At 42.4% G+C, this 26023-nt stretch overlaps 1 protein-coding gene and 1 long non-coding RNA gene across 6 annotated transcripts in view; one reads left to right on the top strand and one right to left on the bottom strand.

The window, feature by feature from the left end:
* BLM (BLM RecQ like helicase) overlaps nucleotides 1-17173 on the bottom strand; it is a 98821-nt gene extending 81648 nt beyond the window's left edge. For 4 of the 5 annotated variants that reach the window (NM_001287248.2, NM_000057.4, NM_001287247.2 and 1 more), the window contains exon 1: nucleotides 17079-17173. The gene's annotated coding sequence lies outside the window, so the exon portion shown is untranslated. Of the gene's footprint in view, nucleotides 1-10375; nucleotides 10486-17078 lie in introns of all 5 variants that reach the window. The other variant, NM_001287246.2, reaches the window with a different exon arrangement.
* The window catches only part of CRTC3-AS1 (CRTC3 antisense RNA 1), a 97132-nt gene continuing 88487 nt past the window's right edge, over nucleotides 17379-26023 (top strand). Inside the window, exons 1-2 of the long non-coding RNA NR_120372.1 lie at nucleotides 17379-17538; nucleotides 21220-21352. This is a non-coding gene — a long non-coding RNA (CRTC3 antisense RNA 1). The remainder of the gene's footprint in view (nucleotides 17539-21219; nucleotides 21353-26023) is intronic.

Raw genomic sequence — 26023 nt, 5'->3', positions numbered from 1 at the left:
GTCAGGACTTTGAGACCAGCCTGGCCAAGATGGTGAAACCGCATCTCTACTAAAAATACAAAAATTAGCCAGGTGTGGTGGTGGGCGCCTGTAATCCCAGCGACTTGGGAGGCTGAGGCAGGAGAATGGCTTGAACCTGGGAGGTGGAGGTTGCAGTGAGCTGAGGTCATGCTACTGTACTTCAGCCTGGGCGACAGGGTGAGACTCCATCTCAAAAAAAAAAAAAGAAGTATTGATTACAATATAATTTCTTAAGAGTTTTTACTATATATTGGTGTTGAATCTTGTCAAAGGCTTTTTCAGCATATATAAAAGTAAATATATGACTGTTCTCCTTAGGTTAATTAATATGGTGAATTACATTGATGATTCTAATGTTAAACCATCTTTGCATTCCTGGTATACATCTTGGTGATGAGCTAATAGTTTTGTAATAGAGTGCTGGATTCTGTTCTGTTTGGTAGTATTTTATTTAGAACTTTTACATAATTTTTATACATAATATTCATCTGTAATTTTCTTTGTGCTACCTTTAATTTTTATGTTAAATATTTGTTTTATACTTGCTTCATAAAAACCGATATAAAATAATTATGCTGTGTAAAAGAAGTGAGATACAAAAGAATACACACTGTATTATAACATTTATTAAAAGTCCTAGAACATGCTAATTATTCTACAGTGACAGAAACCAGATAAGTGGTTGACCGGCAAGAAGAGAGCAAGAAGGCAGAATTAAGGGGGATGAGGAAACTTTTGAGAGTGATGGATATGTTCATTAACTGAATTATGGTGATGATGTGTGTATGTCAAAACTGAACAAATTGTATACTTTAAATACGTGCAGTCTATATCAATAAAGCTACTTTAAAAAAGAGGGTCTAAGAACTAAAAAGTGTTTTAAGATGTTTTACTTTATTTCACTTCAGCCCTTCAACAACTGGAGACAGACAACTAAATCAGCATTTACAATACCAAGCCATTTGGAAAATAAAGAATTTGGAAGTTTTCCTTCTTTTCTACGTTCTAAAACAATTTATTTAGCATTAGGATTATTTGGACTCCATAAATGTAGTAGAATTTTCCTGTTAAACCATTTGGACCTCATGTTTTTTATTTTTCAGTGAGACAGTTATTTCATAACTTTAAAAACTTATTCAATGGAAATTGAGCTATTTAACTTCCAACATCTACTTGAGTCAATTTTGGTAAACTAGATTTTCACACATAATTATCCATTTCATTTTAGTTTTCAAATTTGTTTACGTAAAGGTACATAAATTAATCCTGTTATAAAAACTATCCTGTGTCAGTGGTTACTTACCACTTACCATTTCTTATTCTGTATATTTGTAATTTCTATTAGGCTAATTTATTTGCTTCATTAAACAATTCAAGATACACATCTTTTTTTTTTAATTTTTTTGAGACATAGTCTCACTCTGTCACCCAGGCTGCAGTGCAGTGGCACGATCTCGGCTCACTGCAAACTCTGCCTTCCAGGTTCAAGCAATTCTCCTGCCTCAGCATCCCGAGTAGCTGGGATTACAGGTGCATGCCACCACGCCTGGCTAAGTTTTTGTATTTAGTAGAGACGGGGTTTCACCGTGTTGGACAGGATAGTCTTGATCTCCTGACCTCGTGATCTGCCTGCTTCGGCCTCCCAAAGTGCTGGGATTACTGGCATGAGCCACTGCGCCCAGCCAAGATAAAAATCTTAATTTTTGAATCAGATGTTTTCCTGTTCTCTTACTAATTTCTCTTTTTATCTTTATTATTTATTCTCTTGTGCTTTCGATTTACTTGTTTTTCTTTTCCTAACTTTCTAAGTTTGGAATTTATTTCATTATTTCCCTTTCTTCATTTATAATATGTACTGAAGATTATAAATTTTCCCCTGACTAGTGCCTTACCTTTTTTTTTTTTTTAAGAATCTGATATGCTGTGTTTTCATTTCGTTAATTTTCAGAAATCCTTTATTTCAGTTTCTGTTTTCCTTACATCCAATAGTTGTTTTCAATTTTCCAGATGGAAGGGCCTTTCTGCTTTTTTATAAATTTCATTTTTAATTTCTAGTTTTGTTGCATGGTGATCAGAATTATAATATTTCTACTTTATGAAATTACTAATGTTTTCCTTGTTACCTAATATATGAACTATTTTTATGAATGTAAATTGTTTACTTGGGAAGATGATATACTGCACTAATTCTTCAACTTTTCTGTAGGTTTTCTTTTCTGTAGATTTTTAAAATTTCAAAATAAAGAAAATGAGATCTAGAAAATCCCTTTGTATTGAAAATCAAGAAATATACTTGTGAATAAGCCATCAGTCAAGTAAGATATCATAGTGAGTATTCAAATATACTTTAAACTGAATAATGGAAATCTACACATAAAAATATCTAATATGCAACTAAAGAAGTAGTTACAAGAAAATGGATGACCCTAATTATTAGAAAAGAAACTGAAAAAATAAGCCTGATGAAAATAGAAGGGAGGCAGTTTTAAAGAGAAGAGGGTCAGACGCATTGGCTCATGCCTGTAATCCCAGCACTTTGGGAAGCCAAGGCAGGTGGATCACTTGAGGCCAGGAGTTCAAGACCAGCCTTGGCAACATGGTGAAACCTCATCTCTACCAAAAATACAAAAATTAGCCAGTTTCATAAACCGGTCTCAAAATAAATAAATAAATAGATTTTTAAAAAAATTTTTAAGAGTAAAAAATAATAGATATATAATAGAGAGGATCAATAAACCAAGTTTGTTCTGTAAAAAGACAAAAAAGAAGAGATTGAAAGACGAGATTTAATTACATATGCTATAGACATTAAAAGATAACATTAGGCTGTTATGAACAACTTTGCATCAATAAATTTTAAAATTTAGATGAGATGGACACATTCCTTAAAAATTAACTTATCAAAACTCACTCAAAAATAAACAGAAAACCTAATAGCCTTATAACCATTAAAGAAGTCCTATTGATGGTCAAAAATCTACCCACAAAGATAGCATCAAGACCAGAGTGGCGCAGGTGAGTTCTTCTAAGCACTTATGGCAGTAAAATATTCCAGTTTTACATAAACGATTCCAAAATATAGAAAGAACCAACTCCCCAGCTCATTCTGTGAGGCTAGCATAACTCTGATACTAAGTCCTGTAAGGGCAACTCCTCAGTGAAAAACTCCAGGCTAATTCTTTTTCATAAATGTAGATGCAAAAGTCCCAAACAATATGTTAGCAAAGTAAATCTAGCCATGTATAAAATACACCAAGAGCCACGGGCATGATGACTCACACCTATAATCCCAGCGCTTTTGGAGGCCAAGGCAGGAGGATTGCTTGAGCCCAGGATTGAGACCAGCCTGGGCAGTGTGATTAAATCTCATCTCCACAAAAATTTATAAAAATTAACTGGGCATGGTGACACTTGCCTATAGTCCCAGCTACTTGGGAAGCTGAGATGGGAGGATGACTTGGGAGATCAAGGCTGCAGTGAGCTGAAGTCACACCACTGCACTCCAGCCTGGGTAACAGAGTGAGACCCTGTCTAAAAGGATAAATAAATAAATAAAATAAAAAATACCGAGACCAAGTTGTGTTGTCTAAAAAATGACTCAGAAGTGGTTCAACATTTAAAAATCAATTAATATAATTCACCACAACATTAAAGCTGAACAACCATATCGTCTCAAGACTTCTAGAATAAGCATATGATAAAATCAAACATCCATTCACAGTGAAATCCATTCATAATGAAAACTCTTATCACGCCGGGCATGGTGGCTCATACCTGTAATCCCAGCACTTTGGGAGGCTGAGACGGGCAGATCACAAGGTCAGGAGTTCGAGACCAGTCTGGCCAATATGGTGAAACCCTGTCTCTACCTAAAATACAAAAATTAGCTGGGCGCAGTGACGCAGCCTCTAGTCTCAGCTACTTGGGAGGCTGAGACAGGAGAATCACTTGAACCGGGAGGCGGAAGTTGCAGTGGGCCAAGATTGCGCCACTGCACTCCAGCCTGGGTGGCAGAGCAAGACTCCACCTCAAAAATAAACAACAAAAAAAAACACAACTCTTATCAAACAGGAATAGAAAGGAACTTCTATAACCTGACAGAGAGAATACAGTAAGGTGAAGTTTAGGAAACTTTTCTTTTTAGATCAGGAACAATTCCAGAATGCCCACTATCAATACTTTTATCAGATATATACTGGAAGTCCAAGCCAGAGCAGTAGATCATGAACAATAAATAAAAGGCGTGTTAACTGGAAAGATGTAAAATCATTAATATTCACAAAGGCTATAATTTTGTGTGTGGAACATCTAAAAGAATCTTCAGATTAAATTATTAAAATTCTTGGCTGGATGCAGTGGCTCAAGCCTGTAATCCCAGCACTTTGGGAGGCCGAGGTGGGTGGATCACGAGGTCAGGAGTTCGAGATCAGCCTGGCCAACATAGTGAAACCCTGTCTCTACTAAAAATAAAAAATAAGAAAAAAATTAGGTGGTCATGGTGGCGCGTACCTGTAATCCCAGCTACTTGGGAGGTTGAGGCAGGAGAATCGCTTGAACCCGGGAGGCGGAGGTTGCAGTGAGCCGAGATCACGCCACTGCACTCCAGCCTGGGCGATAGAGCGAGACTTCGTCTCAAAAATAAAAATAAAAATAAAAATAAAAATCTTAAGTGAATGCAGGAGGCAAAATAATGTGACCACCACCACTATCCCCATCTCCCATACCCATCCAAAGATGTCTATATCCTGATCCTTGGATGTTGTGAATATGCTTGGTTACATGACAAAGGTGAATTACTGTCATACGGAATTAAGACTGCTAATAAGCTGACCTTAAAATAGGAAGATTATCCTGGACTAACCAGATGGACCCAATGCAATCACAAGTGTCTTTTTAAGTGGAAGAGGAAATAAGATGACAGACCAGAAAGATGGCAACTTCAGGAGGACTCAAAGTTGCTGGCTTTGATAATGGAGGAGGAAAGCCAAGAGTCAAGGAATACGAATAGTCTCTAAAAGCTGAAAAGGGGAAGGAAATGGATTCTGCCCTTGAGCCTCCAGAAGGGAACTCAGCCTGCCAACACCTTGACTTTAGCCCAATGAAACCCATTCAGACTTCTGAACTACAGAACTATAAGATAATAAATCTATGTTGTTGTTGTTTTTATTTATTTTATTTATTTATTTTGAAACTGAGTTTCTCTCTTGTTGCCCAGGCTGGAGTACAGTGGCGCGATCTCGGCAAACTGCAACCTCTGTCTCCTGGGCTCAAGCAATTCTCCTACCTCAGCCTCCTGAGTAGCTGGGATTACAAGCGCGTACCACCATGCCTGGCTAATTTTTGTATTTTTAGTAGAGATGGAGTTTCGCCACGTTGGCCAGGCTAGTCTCAAACTCCCGACCTCAGGTGACCTGCCCGCCTCGGCCTCTCAAAGTGCTGGGATTACAGGTGTGAGCTACCGTGTGTTATTGTTATTTTTAAACAGAGACAGGGACTCACCGTGTTGCCCAGACTGGTCTCGAATTTCTGGGCTCCCGCGATACTCCCACCTTGGCCTCCCAAACTGCTGAGATTACAGGCATGAGCCAATGTTCCCGGCCTCTATGTTGTTTTAAGCCACTAAGTTTATGGTAATTTATTACAGCAGCTATAGAAAACTAAGACAGTGTGTTTAGGAAGACTGCTGGAGACAAGGTCAATATACAAAAATAAATTGTTTTTCTATATCATCAATAAACAAAAAATAAAATGTCAGAAAACTTTTTAAGATGACATCAAAAATTTAAATACCCGGCCGGGTGCAGTGGCTCATGCCTGTAATCTCAGCACTTTGGGAGGCCAAGGTGGGTGGATCATTTGAGGTCAGGAGTTCGAGACCAGCCTGGCCAACATGGTGAAACCCCGTCTCTACTAAATATATAAAAATTAGCTGAACGTGGTGGCAGTAGTGGCACGTGCCTATAATCCCAGCTACCCGGGAGGCTGAGGCAGGAATATTGCTTGAGCCTGGAAGGCGGTGGTTGCGGTGAGCTGAGATCACGCCACTGCACTTCAGTCTGGGTGACAGAGTGAGACCCTGTCTCAAAAAAAATTTAAAGAAAATAATATATACCTAAAAATACATCTAACAAATTATGTCCTTGATATCTATTCAGAAAATTGGGCTGGGCACAGTGGCTCATGCCTATAATCCCAGCACTTTGGGAGGCCAAGGTGGGCAGATCACTTGAGCCCAGGAGTTTGAGAGCAGCCTGGGCAACACAGCAAAACCCTGTCTCTACAAAAATACAAATATTTGTTGGTCATGGTGGCATGTGCCTATGGTCCCAGCTACTTAGGAGGCTGAGGTGGGAGGATCACCTGAGCCCAGGAGGTTGAGGCTGCAGTAAGCTGTGATTGCACCACTTGCTCTAGCCTGGGTGAGAGAGCAAGACCCTGTCTCAAAAAAAGAAAAGAAAATTGAAAGTCGTTAAGAGAAGTCAAGGAGGGAGGAAACAATCATATGAACCACATTCACATTGGAAGACGATATGGAGATGCTAATTCTCCTCAAATTCATCTATAACTTGATGCATTTCTAATCAAAATTCCAGCTTTTTTTTTTTCTGGAGGAACTTAACAGCTAAGTTCAATATTTTGCTGGAAGAACTCATGGGACTCAGTGTACAGTTGTACTCACAGCTAACATTTATTATATCATCAACACTTTAAGGATACACAACCAGATCAGCAAGGGAAAAAAAAACACATCAGGTAGTGTCTGTAGGAATTCACGTGCAGGCTTCCAATGCTCTCTAACCCCTGAGAAAGTGCATGTTCTCTCAGTGAAAATGCAGCTATGTGTGTGCAATGTTTCTGCCCAAAAGAAGCTGGTTAGAGACTCTGAATCTAGGGGTTTTATTGAGGGCTGGTCACTTAGGCACCTTCCTCCCACCAAAATTTCAGACTCTCAGAAGGAAAACAGGTATTAGTAAAACAACCTGATCAGTGTAGGAAAGGTTTCAAAAGCCAAGTTCTCAGACACAGCCAGGGACCAATTTTGCAAGCAGGCTTTTCTGAAGGTAACAGTTTCAGGCCTACTATATTAGCTCATTCACGTACAAGTTATATCTATGAAATATAACATACAATAATTCACAATAAAAGATGTTAAAAAAAATAGTGCAAATCAAAACCACAATTAGGGCCAGGCACAGTGGCTCATGCCTTGAATCCTAGCACTTTAGGAGGCTGAGGCGGGAGGATTGCTTGAGGCTAGGAGTTCAGGACCAGCTTGGGCAACACAGCAAGACTCCGTCTCTACAAAAAATTTTAAAAATTAAAAAAACAAAAACAAAAACACAATGAAGTATCATCCTACCCCAGTTAAGAAAGCTATTATCAAAAAGACAGAAAATAACAAATGCTGGTGAGGATGCAGAGAAAAGAGAACTCTTACACTTCCACTGATGGTGAGAATATAAACTAGTACAGCCACTATGGAGAACAGTATGGAAGTTCCTCAAATAACTACAAATAGACCTACCATATGATTCAGCAAACCCACTACTGAACACTTATCCAAAGGAAAAGATGTCAGTATATCAAAGAGACATCTGCACCCCCATGCTTACTGCAGCACTATTCACAATAGCCAAGATACGGAATCAACCAAGGTGTTCAACAAGCGATGAATGAATAAAAAAATTATAGTACATTTATACAACAGAATACTATTCAGCCATAAAAAAGAATAAAATCCTGTTATTCACAGCAACATGGAACCTGAGGACATTGTGTTAAGTGGAATAAAGAACAGAAAGTTAAACACCATATGTTCTCACTCATATGTGGAACCTAAAAATCGTTGCTCTCATAGAAGTAAAATCTAGAACAGAGGACACTGGAGGCTGGGAAGGGTAGGGGCAGATTTGTTAAAGAATACAAAATTGGCTGGGTGTGGTGGCTCATGCCTGTAATCCCAGCACTTTGGGAGGCCGAGGTGGGTGGATCACCTGAGGTCAGGAGTTTGAGATCAGCCTGACCAACATGGAGAAACCCCGTCTCTACTAAAAATGCAAAATTAGCCAGGCATGGTGGCGCATGCCTGTAATCCTAGCTACTTGGGAGGCTGAGGCAGGAGAATTGCTTGAACCCAGGAGGCAGAGGTTGCAGTGAGCCAAGATTGTGCCATTGCACTCCAGCCTGGGCAACAAGAGTGAAACTTCATCTCAAAAAAAGGAAAGAAAAGAATATAAAATTACAGCTAGATGGGAAGAATAAGTTCTGGTGTTCTGTAGCACTACAGGATGACTACAGTTAACAATAATGTACTATACAGTTTCAAATAGCTAGAAGGAGGATATTGAATGCTCCCAACACAAAGAAATGATAAATGTTTTAAGATGATAGATATGCTAATTACCCTGATCTGATCATTATACAGTATATGTATCAAAATATCACTATGTACCCCATAAATTGTTGGGGTACAATTATGTCACTTTAAAGAAATGTAAAAATAAAAAAAGTCATTGACTAAAATTATGTTAAATCCACTTAAAAAGCCAAAGTAGAAGATATCTGCTACACCTATGTAAATGTGTATGTACGTATATATAAAAATGTAGATAACTATATATAAATATGTTTATATGTACATAAAACAGAGACAACTTAATAGAGAAGACAGAAAAAAAGGGACTGTAGGCTGGGCGCGGTGGCTCACGCCTGTAATCCCAGCACTTTGGGAGGCCGAGGCGGGTGGATCACGAGGTCAGGAGATTGAGACCACCCTGGCTAACACAGTGAAACCCCGTCTCTACTAAAACAATCCAAAAAAAAAAAAAAATTAGCCGGGCATGGTGGCGGGCGCCTGTAGTCCCAGCTACTTGGGACTTGGGAGGCTGAGGCAGGTGAATGGCGTGAACCCGGGAGGCGGAGCTTGCAGTGAGCCGAGATGGTGCCACTGCACTCCAGCCTGGGCAACAGAGTGAGACTCCGCCTCAAAAAAAAAAAAAGGGACTGTAAAAAAGAGGAAATAGCCCATAAACACATCAGGGTACTCATCTTCACTAATAATCAGAGAAATGAATGCTACCAGAAAATACTACTATACATGAATATACCAGATTGGAAAATAAAAATGTAAATATAAAGTATTAGCCAGCATGCAGAGCAACGGAAAATCTAATACATTGGTGGGAGTGCAAGCACTTTTGAAAACAATTTAGTATTACATAGTAAGGTAAAACATACACACTCTTTGACCTATCAGTTTGTAATTAATTCAATAAAACCTTCCTCTGGGGGCCGGGCGTGGTGGCTTATGCCTGTAATCCCAGCACTTTGGGAGGCCGAGACGGGCAGATCACCTGAGGTCAGGAGTTTGAGACCATCCTGGACAACATGGCAAAACGCTCTCTCTACTAAAAATACAAAAATTAGCCAGGCATGATGGTGCACACCTATAACCCCAGCTATTCAGTAGGCTGAGACATGAGAATCTCTTGAACCCAGCTGGTAGAGGTTGCAGTGAGCCAAGATCATACCACTGCACTCCAGCCTGGGCGACAGAGTGAGACTCCTTCTCAAAAAACAAAACAAAACTTCCTCTGGGTAGGACAAAGGGGCTGGGGAGTGACTTAATCACCAATGGCCAATTATTTAATCAATCATGTCTAGGTAAGGAGGCCTACGTAAAAACCCAGAAGGATAGGGCTCAGGGAGCTTCTAGGTTGGTGAGAACATGTAGAGATGGTGGGAGGCTGGTGTGCCTGGAGAGGGCATGGAAGTGCCACACCCCTTCCCACATACCTTGTCCTGTGTATTTCTTCCAGCTGGCTGCTTCTGAGTTGTTTATAATAAGCTGATAATCTAGTAAGGAAACTGTTCTGTGACTGAATGTGGAGGACTTACCACTTGTGCTTGTAGTCTGAAGTGGGGGGTCTGGAATGCGGGTGGACAGGGAGGACTTAACATTTGGGGTCTGCACTAACACCTGGCAGTTAGTGTCAGACCTGAGCTAAATGTAGGACACCCAGTGTCTGCTAAAGAACTGAACTATTGTGGGGAAAAAAAACACCACACATTTGGTGACAGAAGTGAGGAATTATTATATGGGTACAGAGTAGAGAGGAAATGGAGTTTTCTTTACAGTGGTATACGCATAGAATGAAATATTCAGCCTTTAAAAAGAAAAAAATTGACTAGATGAAGTGGCTCATGCTTGTAATCCCAGCACTTTGGGAGGCCAAGGCAGGAGTATCGCTTGAGCCCAGGAGTTTGAGACCAGCCTAGGCAACAAAGCAAGACCCAGTATCTACAAAAAATAAAAAAGTTAGCCAAGCATGGTGGTACACTCCTGTAGTCTCACCTTCTCGGGAGGCTGAGGCAGAAGGATCATCTGAGCCCAGGAGTTAGAGGCTGCAGTGAGCAACGATCATTCTACTGCACTCCAGCCTGGATAGCTGAGCAAGACCCTGTCTGAAAAATAATAAAATACAATACAATTAAGTTAAATAATAAAAAATTAAAAAAAAAATCCTGCAACATGAGATGACACAGATGAACCTTGAAGCCATTAAGCAAAGTGAAGTAAGCCAGTCACAGGACAAATACTACATGATTCCACTGCAACGAGGTATCTAAAATAGGCAAACTCATAGAAGCAAAGAGGGGCACAGTGGTTGCCAGGGTAGGGGCTTTCAGGAAATGGGGAGTTGTTAATCAAAAAGTATAAAGTTTCAGTAATGCAAAATGAACGCATTCTAGAGATCTGCCATACAACATTGTGGCTGTGTGGTACTATACATGTAAAACTCTGTTAAGAGGTTAAGAAAAACAATTTAAAAAAATTTTTTTTTAGAGACAAGGTCTTGCTCTGTCACTCAGGCTAGAGCGCAGTGGCACAATCATAGTTCACTGCAGCCTCAGACTCCTAAGCTCAAGTGATCCTCCTGCCTCAGCCTCTGGAGAATCTGGAACTACAGGTGCATGACATCATGCTCAACTAATTTTTTAAATTTTTTATAGAGACAAGTCTCCCATTGTTGCCAGACTGGTCTTGAACTCCTGGCCTCAAGAGATCTTGCTTCCTCAGCCTCCCAAAGTGCTGGGATTACAGAAGTGAGCTACCATGCCCAGCCAAAATTACTATTAAAAAAAAAAAAAAAGAAAAGAAAAACTATATCTACAACGTGGAAGAATCTCACAAACATAATAACGCAAACTAGAAAGACTCAGTAGAATGCATATAGTATTATCCCATTTACAGAGCTCAAAACCAGGCAAAACTGAGCTATATTATTTATAGATGTATAGATCAGGGCAAACTATGAAGACAAGAAAAGCATTATCACAAAAATTGGGACAATAGGGCCAGGAGCGGTGGCTCATGCCTGTAATCCCAGCACTTTGGGAGGCCGAGGCAGGCAGATTACCTGAGGTCAGGAGTTTAAGACCAGCCTGGCCAACATGATGTAACCCCGTCTCTACTAAAAATAGAAAAAATTAGCCAGCCATGGTGGCAGGCGCCTGTAATCCAAGCTACTTGGGAGGCTGAGGCAGGAGAATTGCTTGAACCCAGGAAGCAGAGGTTGCAGTGAGCCGAGATCGCGCCACTGCACTCCAGAATGGGCAACAAGAGCAAAACTCCGTCTCAAAATAAATAAATACATAATTGGGACAATAGTTATCCCTAACATAGGGAGGAGGTATCAGAAAGATACACTTCTGGGGTCCTGGGATCCTGGTAATATTCTATTTCTTTCTTGATCTAGATGATAGTTATGTGTAACTATAATTTTATAATGAGTCTTCAATTTACCATGAATACAATATAATTTTTATGCATAACTAAACTTTGTAATTTCTTTGTAACTATTCTTTAAATTATGTAACTTTTTTTAAATTATTTTATTTTTTTGAGACAGAGTCTCATTCTGTTGCCCAGGCTGGAGTGCAATGGCGTGATCCTGATCTAGGCTCACTGCAACCTCCGCTGCCCAGGTTCAAGTGATTCTCCTGCCTCAGCTTCACAAGTAGCTGGGATTACAGACATGGGCCACCATGGCCAGCTAATTTTTGTATTTTAGTAGAGATGGGCTTTTTGCTGGGCACGGCGGCTCATGCCTGTAATCCCAGCACTTTGGGAGGCCGAGGTGGGTGGATCATGAGGTCAGGAGATCGAGACCATCCTGGCTAACACAGTGAAACCCGGTCTCTACTAAAAATACAAAAAATTAGCCGGGCCTGGTGGCAGGTGCCTGTAGTCCCAGCTACTTGGGAGGCTGAGGCAGGAGAATGGCATGAAGCTGGGAGGCGGAGCTTTCAGTGAGCCAAGATTGCGCCACTGCACTCCAGACTGGGAGAGAGAGTGAGACTCTGTCTCAAAAAAAAAGAGATGGGGTTTCACCCTGTTGGCCAGGCTGGTCTCGAACTCCTGCCCTTAAGTGATCCACCTGCCTCAGCCTCCTAAAGTGCTGGGATTACAGGCGTGAGCCACTTTAACTCTTGGTTTCCAGCGAAATTATGTATATTTTTACAAATGTATCTTGGTTGTCATAATAAAGAAAATTTTTTTTTTTTTGAGATGCAGTCTTGCTCTGTCGCCAGGCTGGAGTGGAGTGGTGTGATCTCGGCTCACTGCAATCTCTGCCTCCTGGGTTCAAGTGATTCTCCTGCCTCAGCCTCCCAAGTAGCTGGGATTACAGGCATGTGCCACCATGCTCAGCTGATTTTTGTATTTTTAGTAGACACAGGGTTTCATCATGTTGGCCACACTGGTCTCGAACTCCTGACCTCATGATCCGCCCACCTAGGCCTCCCAAAGTGCTGGGATTACAGGCGCGAGCCACTGTGCCCGGCCAATAAAAATATTTTTAAAAGAAAAATTAGGCTGGATGCAGTGGCTCACACCTGTAATCCCAGCACTTTGGGAAGCCAAAGTGGGTAGATCACCTAAGGTCAGGAGTTTGAGACCAGCCTGACATGGTGAAACCCCATCTGTACCAAAAATACAAAAATTAGCCGGGCGTGGTGGCGGGTGCCTGTAATCCCAGCTACCCAGGAGGCTGAGGCAGGAGAATGGATTGAACTCGGGAGACGGAGGTTACAGTGAGCTGAGATCACGCCACTGCACTTCAGCCTCAGCAACAGGATGAGACTCCATCTCAAAAAAAGAAAAAAGAAAAGAAAAATTAGCAACAAATAACAGATAAATGATTAATATTAAAAACACATAAAGAACATCCAGTTCCAGTGAACAAATGTTCAGGGAATATAAACACAACAGCTCACCAGAATATACAGACACTAAGTAAATTTATGAAAAAATTGTGAAATTTTTCTAATAATAACATGGAGCATCATTTCATACCTATTAAACCAAAGAGAGAGGAATATTGCGAAAATTTATAAGACAAATGACAAGCATAAAGACTGATTCACTAAAATAAATAATTTATTTAGATTTTTATTTTATTTTTTGGTAGAGACGGGGTTTTGCCATGTTGCCCAGGCTGGTCTTGAACTCCCAGGCTCAAGCAATCCCCAACCTTGGCTTCCCAAAGTGCTGGGATCATAGGCATGTGCTACCGCGCCCAGCCAGGAAATAATTTAATATTGAAAAAAGCAGGCCAGGTGCGGTGGGCTCAAACCTGTAGTCCCAGCACTCCGTGGGCAAACTGCTTGAGCCTACGAGTTCGAGATCAGCCTGAACAACACGGCGAGACCCTATCTCTACAAAAAATCAAAAGCCCATCTCTACAACAAATACAAGAATTAGCCAGGCATGGTGGTACACCCCTGTACTCCCAGCTGAGGTGGGAGGATCACTTGAGCCCGGGAGGCTGGAGCTGCAGTGAGCCCTATCTCAAAAAAAAAGAAAAGAAAAAAAAAATTCCTCAAGTGTCAGGTTTAAAAAGAAAGAAAAAAGAAAAACACTAAGTTATGAATACATTAAGGCTACAGCTACCTAAGAAATCTGTATAGCTAAATCTGTATAACTAATTTTATAGCTGAAATTTGGAAAGGACTCATGGAAAATAAAAATAGTTCAAGTGTTTGAAAGATAGGATTATGACTGGAATATTTTTCTTGACATTGAGAATATGTTTCAATAAAATACGGGAATTTTTAAAGAAAGTAAACTCAATAGTTCCCTGTCATTCCAGAGAACAAAGTCCATATGTCATAACTCCAAGAACTTTCACTCTCTGTCTTCAACTTGTATTTTTCATTCAGCTAATATCTACAGTGACTACTCTGTGCCAGGCATCATGGTAGGCACTGAAGTACAGAGATGGGAAAGACATTATTACTGCCTTCAAGGAGCTTATAGACTAGCAGAAAATAGACATGTCAACAAATAATTACAATGCAACGAGATAAGTCTGACAATCAAGTCTTTTCTTAAAAGACTATGGCTTCCCAGATTAAGGAAAAACAGGCAAATGATAGAGAAGCTTTTCAAAGAACACTGAATTGGATATTGAAGGACAAGTGGAACTTTACAGACAGGACTGAGGTTGTGAAGAAGAGTAGTCTATGAACTAGTGGTACAAAGGCTGAGGTAGAATAGTATGTGTTAGCGATACAGAATGCTCAAAAGCCTCTGGTATCATGCCAAGGAGTTTAGATTTTATCCTACAGGTAGTGGAGACCCTTAGGGGCTTTCAGCACTGAAGTCCTAGGATTATTCTACGATTATCTTGGACCTCTTTATTCTATCCATTTTTCTCTTAGAAAAAAACACATATATATGTAAATTAAAATATATATGTATATCTTTTAATTTTTAATATTTCTTACATAAAGATACAGAAAATAGAATTACACCCATGTACCCACCAACCAAATTTAAAAAGTTAAACTCGGCCCTATTCTCTCTCTTTTAAAGGCATAAAACATTTCAGGTAGATTGACTGACGGACTCTCACTCTGTCACCCAGGCTGGAGTGCAGTGGTGCAATCTTGACTAACTGCAGCCTCCTGGGTTCAAGCGATTCTCGTGCCTCAGCCTCCCCAGTAGCTAGAACCACAGGCGCACACCACCACGCCCAGATAATTTTGTATTTACTATAGAGAGGGAGTTTCGCCATGTTGGTGAGGCAAGTCTCGAACTCCTGGCCTCAGGTGATTCGCCCGCCTCATCCTCCCAAAGTGCTGGGATTATGGGTGTGAGCCACTGTGCCTGGCCTCATTTCAGATATATTTAAAATCTCACTCATGGCCGGGCGCGGTGGCTCGCCTGTAATCCCAGCACCTTGGGAGGCGGAGGCAGGCGGATCACGAGGTCAGGAGATCGAGACCATCCTGGCTAACACAGTGAAACCCCGTCTCTACTAAAAATACAAAAAATTAGCTGGGCGTGGTGGTGGGTGCCTGTAGTCCCAGCTATTTGGGAGGCTGAGGCAGGAGAATGGCATGAACCCGGGAGGCGGAGCTTGCAGTGAGCCAAGATCGCGCCACTGCACTCCAGCCTGGGCGACAGAGCGAGACTCCATCCCCCAAAAACAAAAACAAAAACAAACTCACTCATTCCAGGAATGACTATGAAAAAGGAAAAAACAGATAAAAATTTAAAAATCAAAACAATAAACTATCACTCATTCCCCTTACCTTTTTCCCTTCCCTTCCTGCTCATAGGTAATACCACCTGTCCTGAAGCGGATGTGTAGAACTTCCCAGCATGATGATGTTCTACTGCACATCTAACACTTTTCCTGATTTTTTAACTCTTGGTTTCCTCAGTAAAACGAAGGAAATAACTACTTCTCCAGGTTACTGATAGGACTGTAAACTATACTTATAAGGTACCTGTCATGGTGAGTGGCATTGAAAGTGACACAGGACCCAGAAATTTCATTTCTTCCCAGTAGATTATAAGCTACTGTCTGACAGTATAAGCAGCCCAGCTAACAAAATGTTGATTTAATTAATTCTATTTACTATTCCCCAAACAGAATACTTTTGCCTACCCGCTTCTTCATCTTCTGATCTCTCATGCAGTCTCTCGAATTCCTGTCCCTTAATCTTGACAGTGACACACCAGTGTTATTTATCTGCATGGGTGGCACAAGGAGCTGTCAGTCACCTGCTCCATCTCACGCCATGAGGTACCTAAAGTTCTGTGTGACCTAAGGACAGGTGAGGGCTATAGGAGAAAGCCTAATGTTGTGGGACATACTTTAAAATCAGGCGCTTAGTTCAAATCCTGTATCTCTAGCACTTAATCACCAAATGCTCTTTCTGTACGGAGACAACCTCTTTGTACTTCAGATTCTCCATGTCTAAAATGGGGACAATTTCATCCGCTTCTCTGGGTAATGATAACAGAACCCTTACTGTGTACTATGTAACAGGTAGCCTTCGAAGCATTTATTATTGCATATATTAAGTCGTTTAATCCTAACAAAAACGCCAGGAAGTAGAAGAGACCATTTCCCCCATATGACAGACGAAAACCAAGACACTTAGTGTTTCAGTAACGTGCAGTAGACACAGAGCTAAATGTGAAGGAGCCAGAATTCGAACCCAAGCAATCTGATGCAGTATTCTTAAGCACTTCGCTTTGCTGGGATATCGTAAAGCTACAGTTGTAAGATCAAGGGTGCCAGGAACATGGCACACAGTAGACACTCAAAAACAAGAGTAGCCCAGCTCGTGATTATGGAAGGCCACAGAAAAAGTACAAAGTGTTTTCGTTGTTCCTCAGGAGGGACACGGAGGTAGTAGTGCCAGAGGTCTGGGCTGGGATTACTCTGTGCAGGGCATCATGTTACGCACTGGAGTATATGGGCAACAACATGCCAGGTCCTAGCCCATGCTCGGCCTCCGACGCCCCGGGAGACCTTGGCAGAGTTCGCCCCCGCCCCGGGCCTCTGTTTCCCCATTTGGGAACGTATTTATGTATCTGCTGTCCTCCCAGGATGTTGGCCAGACTAGAGGACTCAGCGGGCCGAGGCGAACCAGTGCAGGAAACGGAAGAACCCGAGCGGCCTCCAGCTCCGGGCCGGGCCGCCAGAGCAGGGCTAGATCAATGCGGACCGACCCGTAGTTACGCGCGCGGTACTCACCTCGCACGCAGACTCCTAGCGGACGGAACCAGGATCCAAACTTCCCGCGCCGCAACCACGGCCGCCGCGCCAAGCCCTGGCTCACTTCCCGCCGGAAGCTTGCCTATTCCGATTGGCTGCTTCCTGGGGAAGCCGACCAATACTGTCGCACTCGGACATCTGTTCCCGCCCCCTCAGGCTGCTGGGGCGGGGTCGCCGTACAGCGCCGGGAGGGACGCGTATCTCCAAAGCCCAATCAGAGTCCGGACGGGAGGGTCAGATGACTACGGTTACATCTCGGGCTTCCGGAGCTAGTTGGGTCTTTGTTTTTGGTGTTTTAGAGTCGGTGAAGGCTTTAAAGGAAGTAGGCAGCTGGAACCCGGCTGTGGCGGGTTGAAAAGCCCGGGCGTTTGAGAGCTGAGACTTGCCAGTTCCCACAGGCCAAGCCAGGCGTCTGCACCCCATTCTCTTGGTTCCGACGGTGTGTCTCTGCGATGTTTTGGCGGTCTCTCCTCTCCATCCCCTTAATAATACTGGTCTCTGTTTCACCCGTACCCCTCTACACGAGCAGGTGCAAATTGTCATTGAACCGGGAAAGTGGGCACACACTCAGATGCCTCCATGGACACGTGAGAAACCATGCTTCTGTTTCAGCCTATTGCTGACACGCGGGAATGTGGGCCCTGTGATGCCAGATCTTACTTTCTTTCCTTTCTTCCTCTCTTCTCCCCTCTCTACTTCCTTCCCTCTCTCCTTCCCTCCCGCCCTCCCTCCTCTTTGTGTGTGTGATAAAATCTATCTAACATAAAATTCACCATTTTTAAGTGTACAGTTCACTGGCATTAAGTACATTCACATTGTTGTGAAACCATCACCACTATCCATCTCCAGAACTTTTTCATTATCCCAAATAGAAAATCTGCCTGTTACACAGTAACTCCCCGTTACCCGTTTCTCACAACCCCTTATAGCCGATATTGCACTTTCTGTCTGTAAGTGCGAGGTACCGCATATAAATTGAATCATACAATAATTGCTCTTTTCTGATTGGCTTATTTCACTTAGCATAATGTCTTCAAGGAGCATCTATGTTGTAGCATGTATCAGAATTTCTTCCTTCTTGAGGCTAAATAATATTCCATTATACATGTATACTACATTTTGTTTATCCATTCATCCATATAAATGGATGCTTGGTTATTCCCACCTTTTGGCTATTGTGAATAATGCTGCTATGAACTTTGGTATACAAATAATCATTCTCCACATAATACGCAGAAAGAGTTTTCTAAAATGTAAAAATCTGTTCAAGTTACCTCCCTCCTGAAAATCTTCTATGGTAAATTGAAACCAAAATATGATACTATTAAACACTCCATAGAATAGCTGAAATGAAAAGACTGACAATTCCCTTAGTTGCAAAGATGCAGAAATGGGACTCTCATACAGTGTTGATGGGAGTGTAAAATGGTACAACCACTTTGGAAACATCAGTCTCTACTGAAATCAAATTTACCCCTACCCTATACCCCAGAAATCCCATTTCTAGATATTTACCCCAAAAAATGAATGCCTTTATTCACCAAAAGACTCATAGCAGCTTTATTCATAATAGCCAAAGGGAAAAAACCCAGATGTCCACCAATAGATGAATAGATAAATTGCAGCTTATTCATATAACTGTATACTACTGTTGAAGAATAATTTTAATATCAAATATAATACAGATATAAAATAAATGTTAGAGATTTTATTTAACTCATTAATGAATGAGATATCCAGAAAGATTACAACTGCTTCAATGGAAAATTCAAAGTACCACACACATAGTCAAATGAGGAATAATGAAATAACTACAAATATATACAAAAACTGGCAGAACTGATGAAATCCACAGCTTAGTAATCAATTGCATTCTACTGAAAACAATTTGCATTTCTTTTTTTTTTTTTTTTTTTGAGACGGAGTCTCACTCAGCCGCCCAGGCTGGAGTGCAGTGGCGCAAGCTCGGCTCACCGCAACCACCATCTCCCAGGTTCAATAGAGTCTCCCGTCTCAGCCTCCCGAGTAGCTGGGATTACAGGCACCCGCCATCATGCCCAGCTAGCTTTTTGTATTTTAGTAGAGACAGGGTTTCACCGTGTTGGCCAGGCTGGTCTCGAACTCCTGACCTCAGGTGATCCGCCTGTCTTGGCCTCCCAAAGTGTTAGGATTACAGGCATGAGCCACCGTGCCCGGCCACAATTTGCATTTCTATAGACAAGAAGTGTCTATAGTTTGTATAGTTGTTCTGTAGCTCAAAGACAGTGAAAGGTTTAGAGTCTTCATAGAATCAGACATCCTAGAAAAGTAAGCTGGACAGCTGGGCACCTTGTTTTTCAATGACACCCAGTAATCATTTTTTTGTTGTTTGTCTTAGATGGAGTCTTGCTCTGTCACCCAGACTGGAGTACAGTGGTGTGATCTCAGCTCACTGCAACCTCCACTTCCCAGGTTCAAGCGATTTTCCTGCCCCAGCTTCCCGAGCAGCTGGGACTACAGGTACGTGCCACCACGCCTGGCTAATTTATTGTATTTTTAGTAGAGATGGGGTTTCACCATGTGGTCCAGGCTGGTCATGAACTTCTGACCTCAGGTGATCTGCCTGCCTTGGCCTCCCAAAGTACTGGGATTACAGGCTTGAGCCACCATGCCTGGCCCCAGTAATCTGTTTTAGACCATTTCAAAGCTTTTCTCAGTTTTTTTCTGTATTACAAAGTAATAGGAGGATGAACTACTGGTACATACAATATAGATGAAGCTCAGACACTATGCTGAGCACAAAAAGAGGTAGATAAAAGAGTATATAGGGCCGGGCGCAGTGGCTCACGCCTGTAATCCCAGCACTTTGGGAGGCCGAGGTGGGTGGATCACGAGGTCAGGAGATTTGAGACCATCCTGGCTAACACGGTGAAACCCTGTCTCTACTAAAAAATACAAAAAAATCAGTCAGGCATGGTGGCGGACGCCTGTAGTCCCAGCTACTCAGGAGGCTGAGGCAGGAGAATGGTGTGAACCTGGGAGGCGGAGCTTGCAGTGAGCCGAGATCACGCCACTGCACTCCAGCCTGGGCGACAGAGCAAGACTCCATCTCAAAAAAAAAAGAGAAAAAGAGTATATAGTGCATACCAGGTTACCCCTGGAGGCAGAGGTAGATGAGGAAGCTCCCAAGGAAATCTTATGGAGTGCTGGAAATTACATATCTGTCTTATATAGACATTTAATATAGATAAAGTAATATATAAATCATTTATATATAAAATCATTATATACATACAATCATTGAGATATGTATTTTTTCAATTTTTTAAAATTTATTTTTATTTTTTGAGACAGGGTCTGCCTCTGTTGCCCAGACTGGAATGCAGTGGTGCCATCTTGGCTCAGTGCAACCTCCACCTCCCAGGCTCAAGTAATTCACCCACCTCAGCCTCCTGAGTAGCTAGGACCACAGGCACATGCCACCACGCCTGGGTAATTTTTGTATTTTTAGTAGAAATGGGGTTTTGCCATGTTGCCCAGGCTGGTCTCAAACTCCTGGCCTTAGGCGATCTGCCAGCCTCAGCCTCCAAAAGTGCTGGGATTACAGCCGTGAGCCTCCTTGCCTGGCCAAGGTATATATTTAAGATTAAGATGAGTGCACAAGCCTTTCACCACCCTACGCTAACATCTACCTTCCAGGTGGGAGGTAAAGGTTGCAGTGAGCTGAGATCACACCACTGCACTCCACCCTGGGCAGCAGTGAGAATCTGTCTCAAAAAAAAAAAAAACACAGAATCCTTCCAGCAGCTCCCATTTGCCTTCAAGGTGAATACCAAACTCCGATTGAGTCCCTGCTTCCTCTCATATGTCATCTGTCCCTCATCCCCATTTTCCTGTCATTTCCTCAAGGTGTTTTATAGTCTTTCCAGTTTCCTGGCCTTTGCCTCCAAATCATACCTCTCATTCATCTCTCAGGTCTCAGGACAACTTCTCTGCAAGTTGTTGGAGAAGTTGGGAAGTTGGAAAGCCTTACCTAATCCTCCAAATCTGCCTGTGTATCCCTCCTAGGTTTTCCCATAACAGCAGTCAGCATTTGTATTGGTTGTGTTGATACTATTAGTGTGCCTGTCTTCCTCTACAGAATATGCTCTCCATGAGGGTGTTCTTCAGGGCCTACCACAATGGCTGGCACTAGAGAAGGGCACAAAATTGAAGAACAGTGAAGACAAAAGCAATAAGATGATTAAGGCCATGTGAGACAGCAACAATATCAGGTGAATGTCACCCTTTATCGAGTTGTGAGTATCCAGCCTCTCACTTTGGGGGATACTGTTTGAGCCTAAGTAACATTAGTGGCTTTATTCATTTGGTAGATTGTTTGTATCTTTGCGTTGTCTCTATCCTGCTTTTTCCTTGGCCATTTTGCTATTAAAAATCTGTTGATTTACTCTGCATTTTCCCATAGAGAAGGGTAGCCTGAGGAGTTATTTAACAATGATGTGTTTTGGCCAGGCGCGGTGGCTCATGCCTGTAATCCCAGCACTTTGGGAGGCCGAGGCAGGCAGATCACGAGGTCAGGACATTGAGACCATCGTGGCTAACATGGTGAAACGCCGTCTCTACTAAAAATACAAAAATTAGCCAGGTGTCATGGCACACGCCTGTAGTCCCAGCTACTCGGGAGGCTGAGGCAGGAGAATGGCATGAACCTGGGAGGTGGAGCTTGCAGTGAGCCGAGATCGCGCCACTGCACTCCAGCCTGGGGCACAGAGCGAGACTCCGTCTCAAAAAAAAAAAAAAAAAAAAAAGGTGTGTTTTGTTTTTGCAACAAGTAAAAATTGACATATTTCACCCACATGTTCATTAACAGATGAATGAATAAACAAAATGTGGTATATCTAATAAGCTGGGCACAGTGGCCCACACCTGTAATCCCAGCAGTTTGGGAGGCTGAGGTGGGTGGATCACTTGAAGTCAGGAGTTCCAGACCAGCCTGGCCAACATAGTGAAACCCTGTCTCTACTAAAAATACAAAAAAGTTAGCCGGGCATGGTGGCGTGTTCCTGTAACCCCAGCTACTCGGGAGGCTGAGGCAGGAGAATTGCTTGAACCTGGCAGGTGGAGGTTGTAGTGAGCCAAGATCGTGCCACTGCACTCCAGCCTGGGCAACAGAGCGAGGCTCCATCTCAAAAAAAAAAAAAAAAAAAGTAGTATATCCATACAGTGGAGTATCATTCGGCCATGAAAAGGAGTGAAGCTCTGACACATGCTACAACATTCTGAGTCAAATATGCCAACACAAAAAAACAAATACGATCTGACTCCATTTATATGAAAGATTTTGAATAGGCAAATTCATAGAGACAGAAAGTAGATTAGAGGTTTCAGGAACTGAGAGTAGGAAGGAGGGAAGAATGAGGAATTATTGCTTACTGGGTTCATAGTTTCCATTTGGGGGGATGAAAAAGTTTAGAAATTGTGGCAATGGCTGTACAGCATTTTGAATGTAATTAATGCCATTGAGTTCTACTCATAAAAAGGTTAAAATGGCAGTTTATTTCATACATATTTTACCACACACACAAAAAGCAGTTGCTGTGGAAAAAAAAAACACACACACAACATATTTTACACACACACAAAAGCTCCAATCAAAACAGAAATAGATTTTCAGTTTTTCTTAAAAAAGAGGAAAGAAGAAAGGGAGGGAGGGTGTGAGGGAAGGAGAGAAGGAGGGAAGGAAGGAGAGAGGGAAGAAGAGAGGAAGGTACAGAAAGAAAAGAAAGATCTAGCATCATCACAGGGCCCACATTCCCTCAAGAGAACAATAGGCTGAAACAAGTGTGGCTTCTCACGTGTCCCTGGAGGCATCTGAGTTTGTTTCATGTTTCCCCCATCAGTGACAATTTGCACCTGCTCGTGTAGAGAGGTACCTGTGAAACAGAGGCCAGCATTAATAAGGGGGTGGAGAGGAGAGACTGCCAAAGCCTTGCAGAGACAGAAAAAAAAAGTGTGGTTTTCCAGGACTGAAAACTCAGTCGCAGCAGCCCCTCTCTCAGTTGTACCTGTAGGATTTTAATTTATAGAAGCGACTGACTGATGACAGAGAGACTAGTGGCTTTGAAGGAATAATTTATCCACATTTCCTGAGAGGAGGGACACACCACGCCATGCAGGGCCACATGGAGAAGAAGCACCAGGTTTGGTCAGGAGGCAGAAGGGAGTGAAGGGAAAGCTTAAACGAGAACCTTTATTAGCGTTTCAGCAGGGAAGGCAAGGCAGTGCAGGGAAAGTTTGGGACTGGGTGGTCTGAATAATTCTGGTGGGTTTTGGAGATTAGCGGTATCTCTAGGGGTTCTGTAGTACCTAGCCTTGGGTTAATTTAGGGCAGGGGAAATATTGGCTTTGTGTTAGAAAAAGGGGGTAGTTAGAGGTATGGACTTGGGACTAGTTGGAGGGTTTGTAATATAATTTTTTGGGCGCCCACAAAAACAAGATCATAGGAAAGATGTAAACAACTTTGGCTTTTCGTTTGGTCCTGTATGGCCTGAGCCACAGATGCGTTTGGCATAATAGCAGCTTCCTGGCATGAAAGAGCCAAAAAAAAAGACATCAAAAACACTGCCTTTTGCAGTAGACATCTGTAATCTTTGCCTGGGGAAAATCATCCACTTACAGCAGCCTGACACGGCTTTGGAGAGCCACTTTTCTCAATTCAGCCAGGAAACTCATGCCAATGTGGGACTGACTTCTCAAGCCTGGAACACCAGGGGTGGCCCTGCCACGTCAGCCTGGCCAATCAGTATATCCTACTGGCTTGGCCTGATGACTCCAGCTGGGCCAATGAGAGCCCTCCACAGGACTTTGGCTAGAATCTACCGGGAATGTGGTAATAGGTGTGCCCTTTCTGTTGGAGTTCCCAAACTGTTAAGGTGTCATCCTGGATGTGGGACTAGGAGGGGAGCCTGCCTGAGGATGCAGCCACCGGAGAGGAGAGTGCAGGCAAGAGAAGGAGAGAAGCTGGGTTTTGGTGGAATTAATTGTCTGAGGCCCTGGATCCTGCTGTACTGGCAGCCACGTCCTGGACTTTGCAGTCATATAAGCCAATTAATTCCCGTTTATACTTAAAAAAAAAAAGGCGAACTGCAAAACAGTAGCCATAGGATGCTATGTTTATTTAGAGAATGGGGGAAAATGATTCGGATATGTGTCAGCTAGCATATTCATTTAAACTTTTCTAATAAATAAGAAGCTAATAATCATGAATACCTGTTGGGAGTGGGAACTGGGTAGATGGAGGAATGAGTCATAGAAATACTTCACTGTGGCCAGGCGTGATGGCTCACACCTGTAATCCCAACATTTTGGGAGGCCGAGGCCGGCGGATCACTTGGGGCCAGGAGTTCGAGAGCAGTCTGGCCAACATGACAAAACCCCATCTCTACTAAAAATACAAAATTTAGCTGGGCATGGTGGCATGCGCCTCTAGTCCAAGGCTGAGGTGGGAGAGTTGCTTGAACCCAGGAGGCAGAGGTTGCAGTGAGCCAAGATGGTGTCATTGCACTCCACCCTGGGTGACAGTGAGACTCTGTCTCAAAAAAAAAGAAATACTTCACTGTATACCCTTTCATATTTTTTGACATTTGAACATGTGAGAATGTTACCTATCAATAATATTAAATACAGACATTTTATTTTTATTTTTTGTAGAGACAGTCCTGCTGTTGTCCAGGTTGGTCTTGAACTCCTGGCCTCAAGCAATCCTCCTGACTCAGCCTCCCCAAGTGCTGGGATTACAAGTGTGAGCCACTGTGCCCAGCTCAGACTTTTAAAAATACAAAAAACTCGAGGTTTATTTTATAAAGCCCTTAGGAAGAACAAATCCTATTATAGCAAATACATTGAATTTTCAATGTACTGTGCTAGTAAGATATTTACACTCCTAACCACTCAGGAGCAAAGTAAACAAAGAACACTGTTAAGAGACCAGGTAGGTGGAGAAAGATCTCAATTAAACTTAAAGTTATACATAGTCTGCCTTTTGTTATGTTTTCTAAGAATATGTTAGAAGCAGTCTGAGATATTCAGTGGTAAGAACAACGCTCTTCTGAGAATATACGTTGTTATTCACAAGGAAGGATGTAGTAGGTATCAGTAGGTTGTCACTCCTGCTACAACAACCAGAAAAACAAAAACGCACACATACAAAAAAAGGATAAATTATACAAATCACACACACATGTGTATATATTTATAGACAATCTCACTCTTGTCACCTAGGCTGGAGTGCAGTGGCGCCATCTCAGCTCACTGCAACCTCTGCCTCCTGAGTTCAAGTGACTCTCCCACCTCACCCTCCCGACTAGCTGGGACTACAGGTGTGTGCCACCATGCCCAGCTAAATTTTGTATTTTTAGTAGAGATGGGGTTTCACCATGTTGGCCAGGCTGGTCTTGAACTGCCTTGGCCTCCCAAAGTTCTGGGATTCAGGTGTGAGCCACTGCGCCTGGCCCAAGTCCTATTTTTAAAGACATAAGAACATCAGAGAGCAGTGGGATCAGAGAAAGAAGAGCCCATTGCTAGGTGAACTGGGATTGCTGGTCATTTTTCTCCCTGGGTGCATTTGTCAAAGCTGAAGATTGAGTGTGGTTTACACTGAACTTTTGATGGCCTCTCAGGCTATTGTTAACAGATTAGAGTCTAAAGGAGCCTAGATAAGAGGCTTTTTTTCCCATGGGATATTTGCTGAGTGCTGGGGTAGACTGGGGGCCAAGAGCTGCTAAGCTCGAGACCTAGGCTGGAAAGGCAGAGTAAGATCTGCAGTCTCTTAGTTTGGAATGTGGAGTCCCTCTGAAGGGAGGGGCCTGCAAAAAATACATGACAGGTCTCACTCTCTCAAGATAATTAAAAACAGAGGTGGACCACATCTAAGTAAAGCCGTAACT

Source organism: Homo sapiens, chromosome 15 (genome assembly GCF_000001405.40).
Source record: "Homo sapiens chromosome 15, GRCh38.p14 Primary Assembly".
In the NCBI taxonomy this organism is placed as follows: domain Eukaryota; kingdom Metazoa; phylum Chordata; class Mammalia; order Primates; family Hominidae; genus Homo; species Homo sapiens.
Note: the sequence above shows the minus strand (reverse complement) of the source record. Positions and strands in the feature narration are given on the sequence as shown.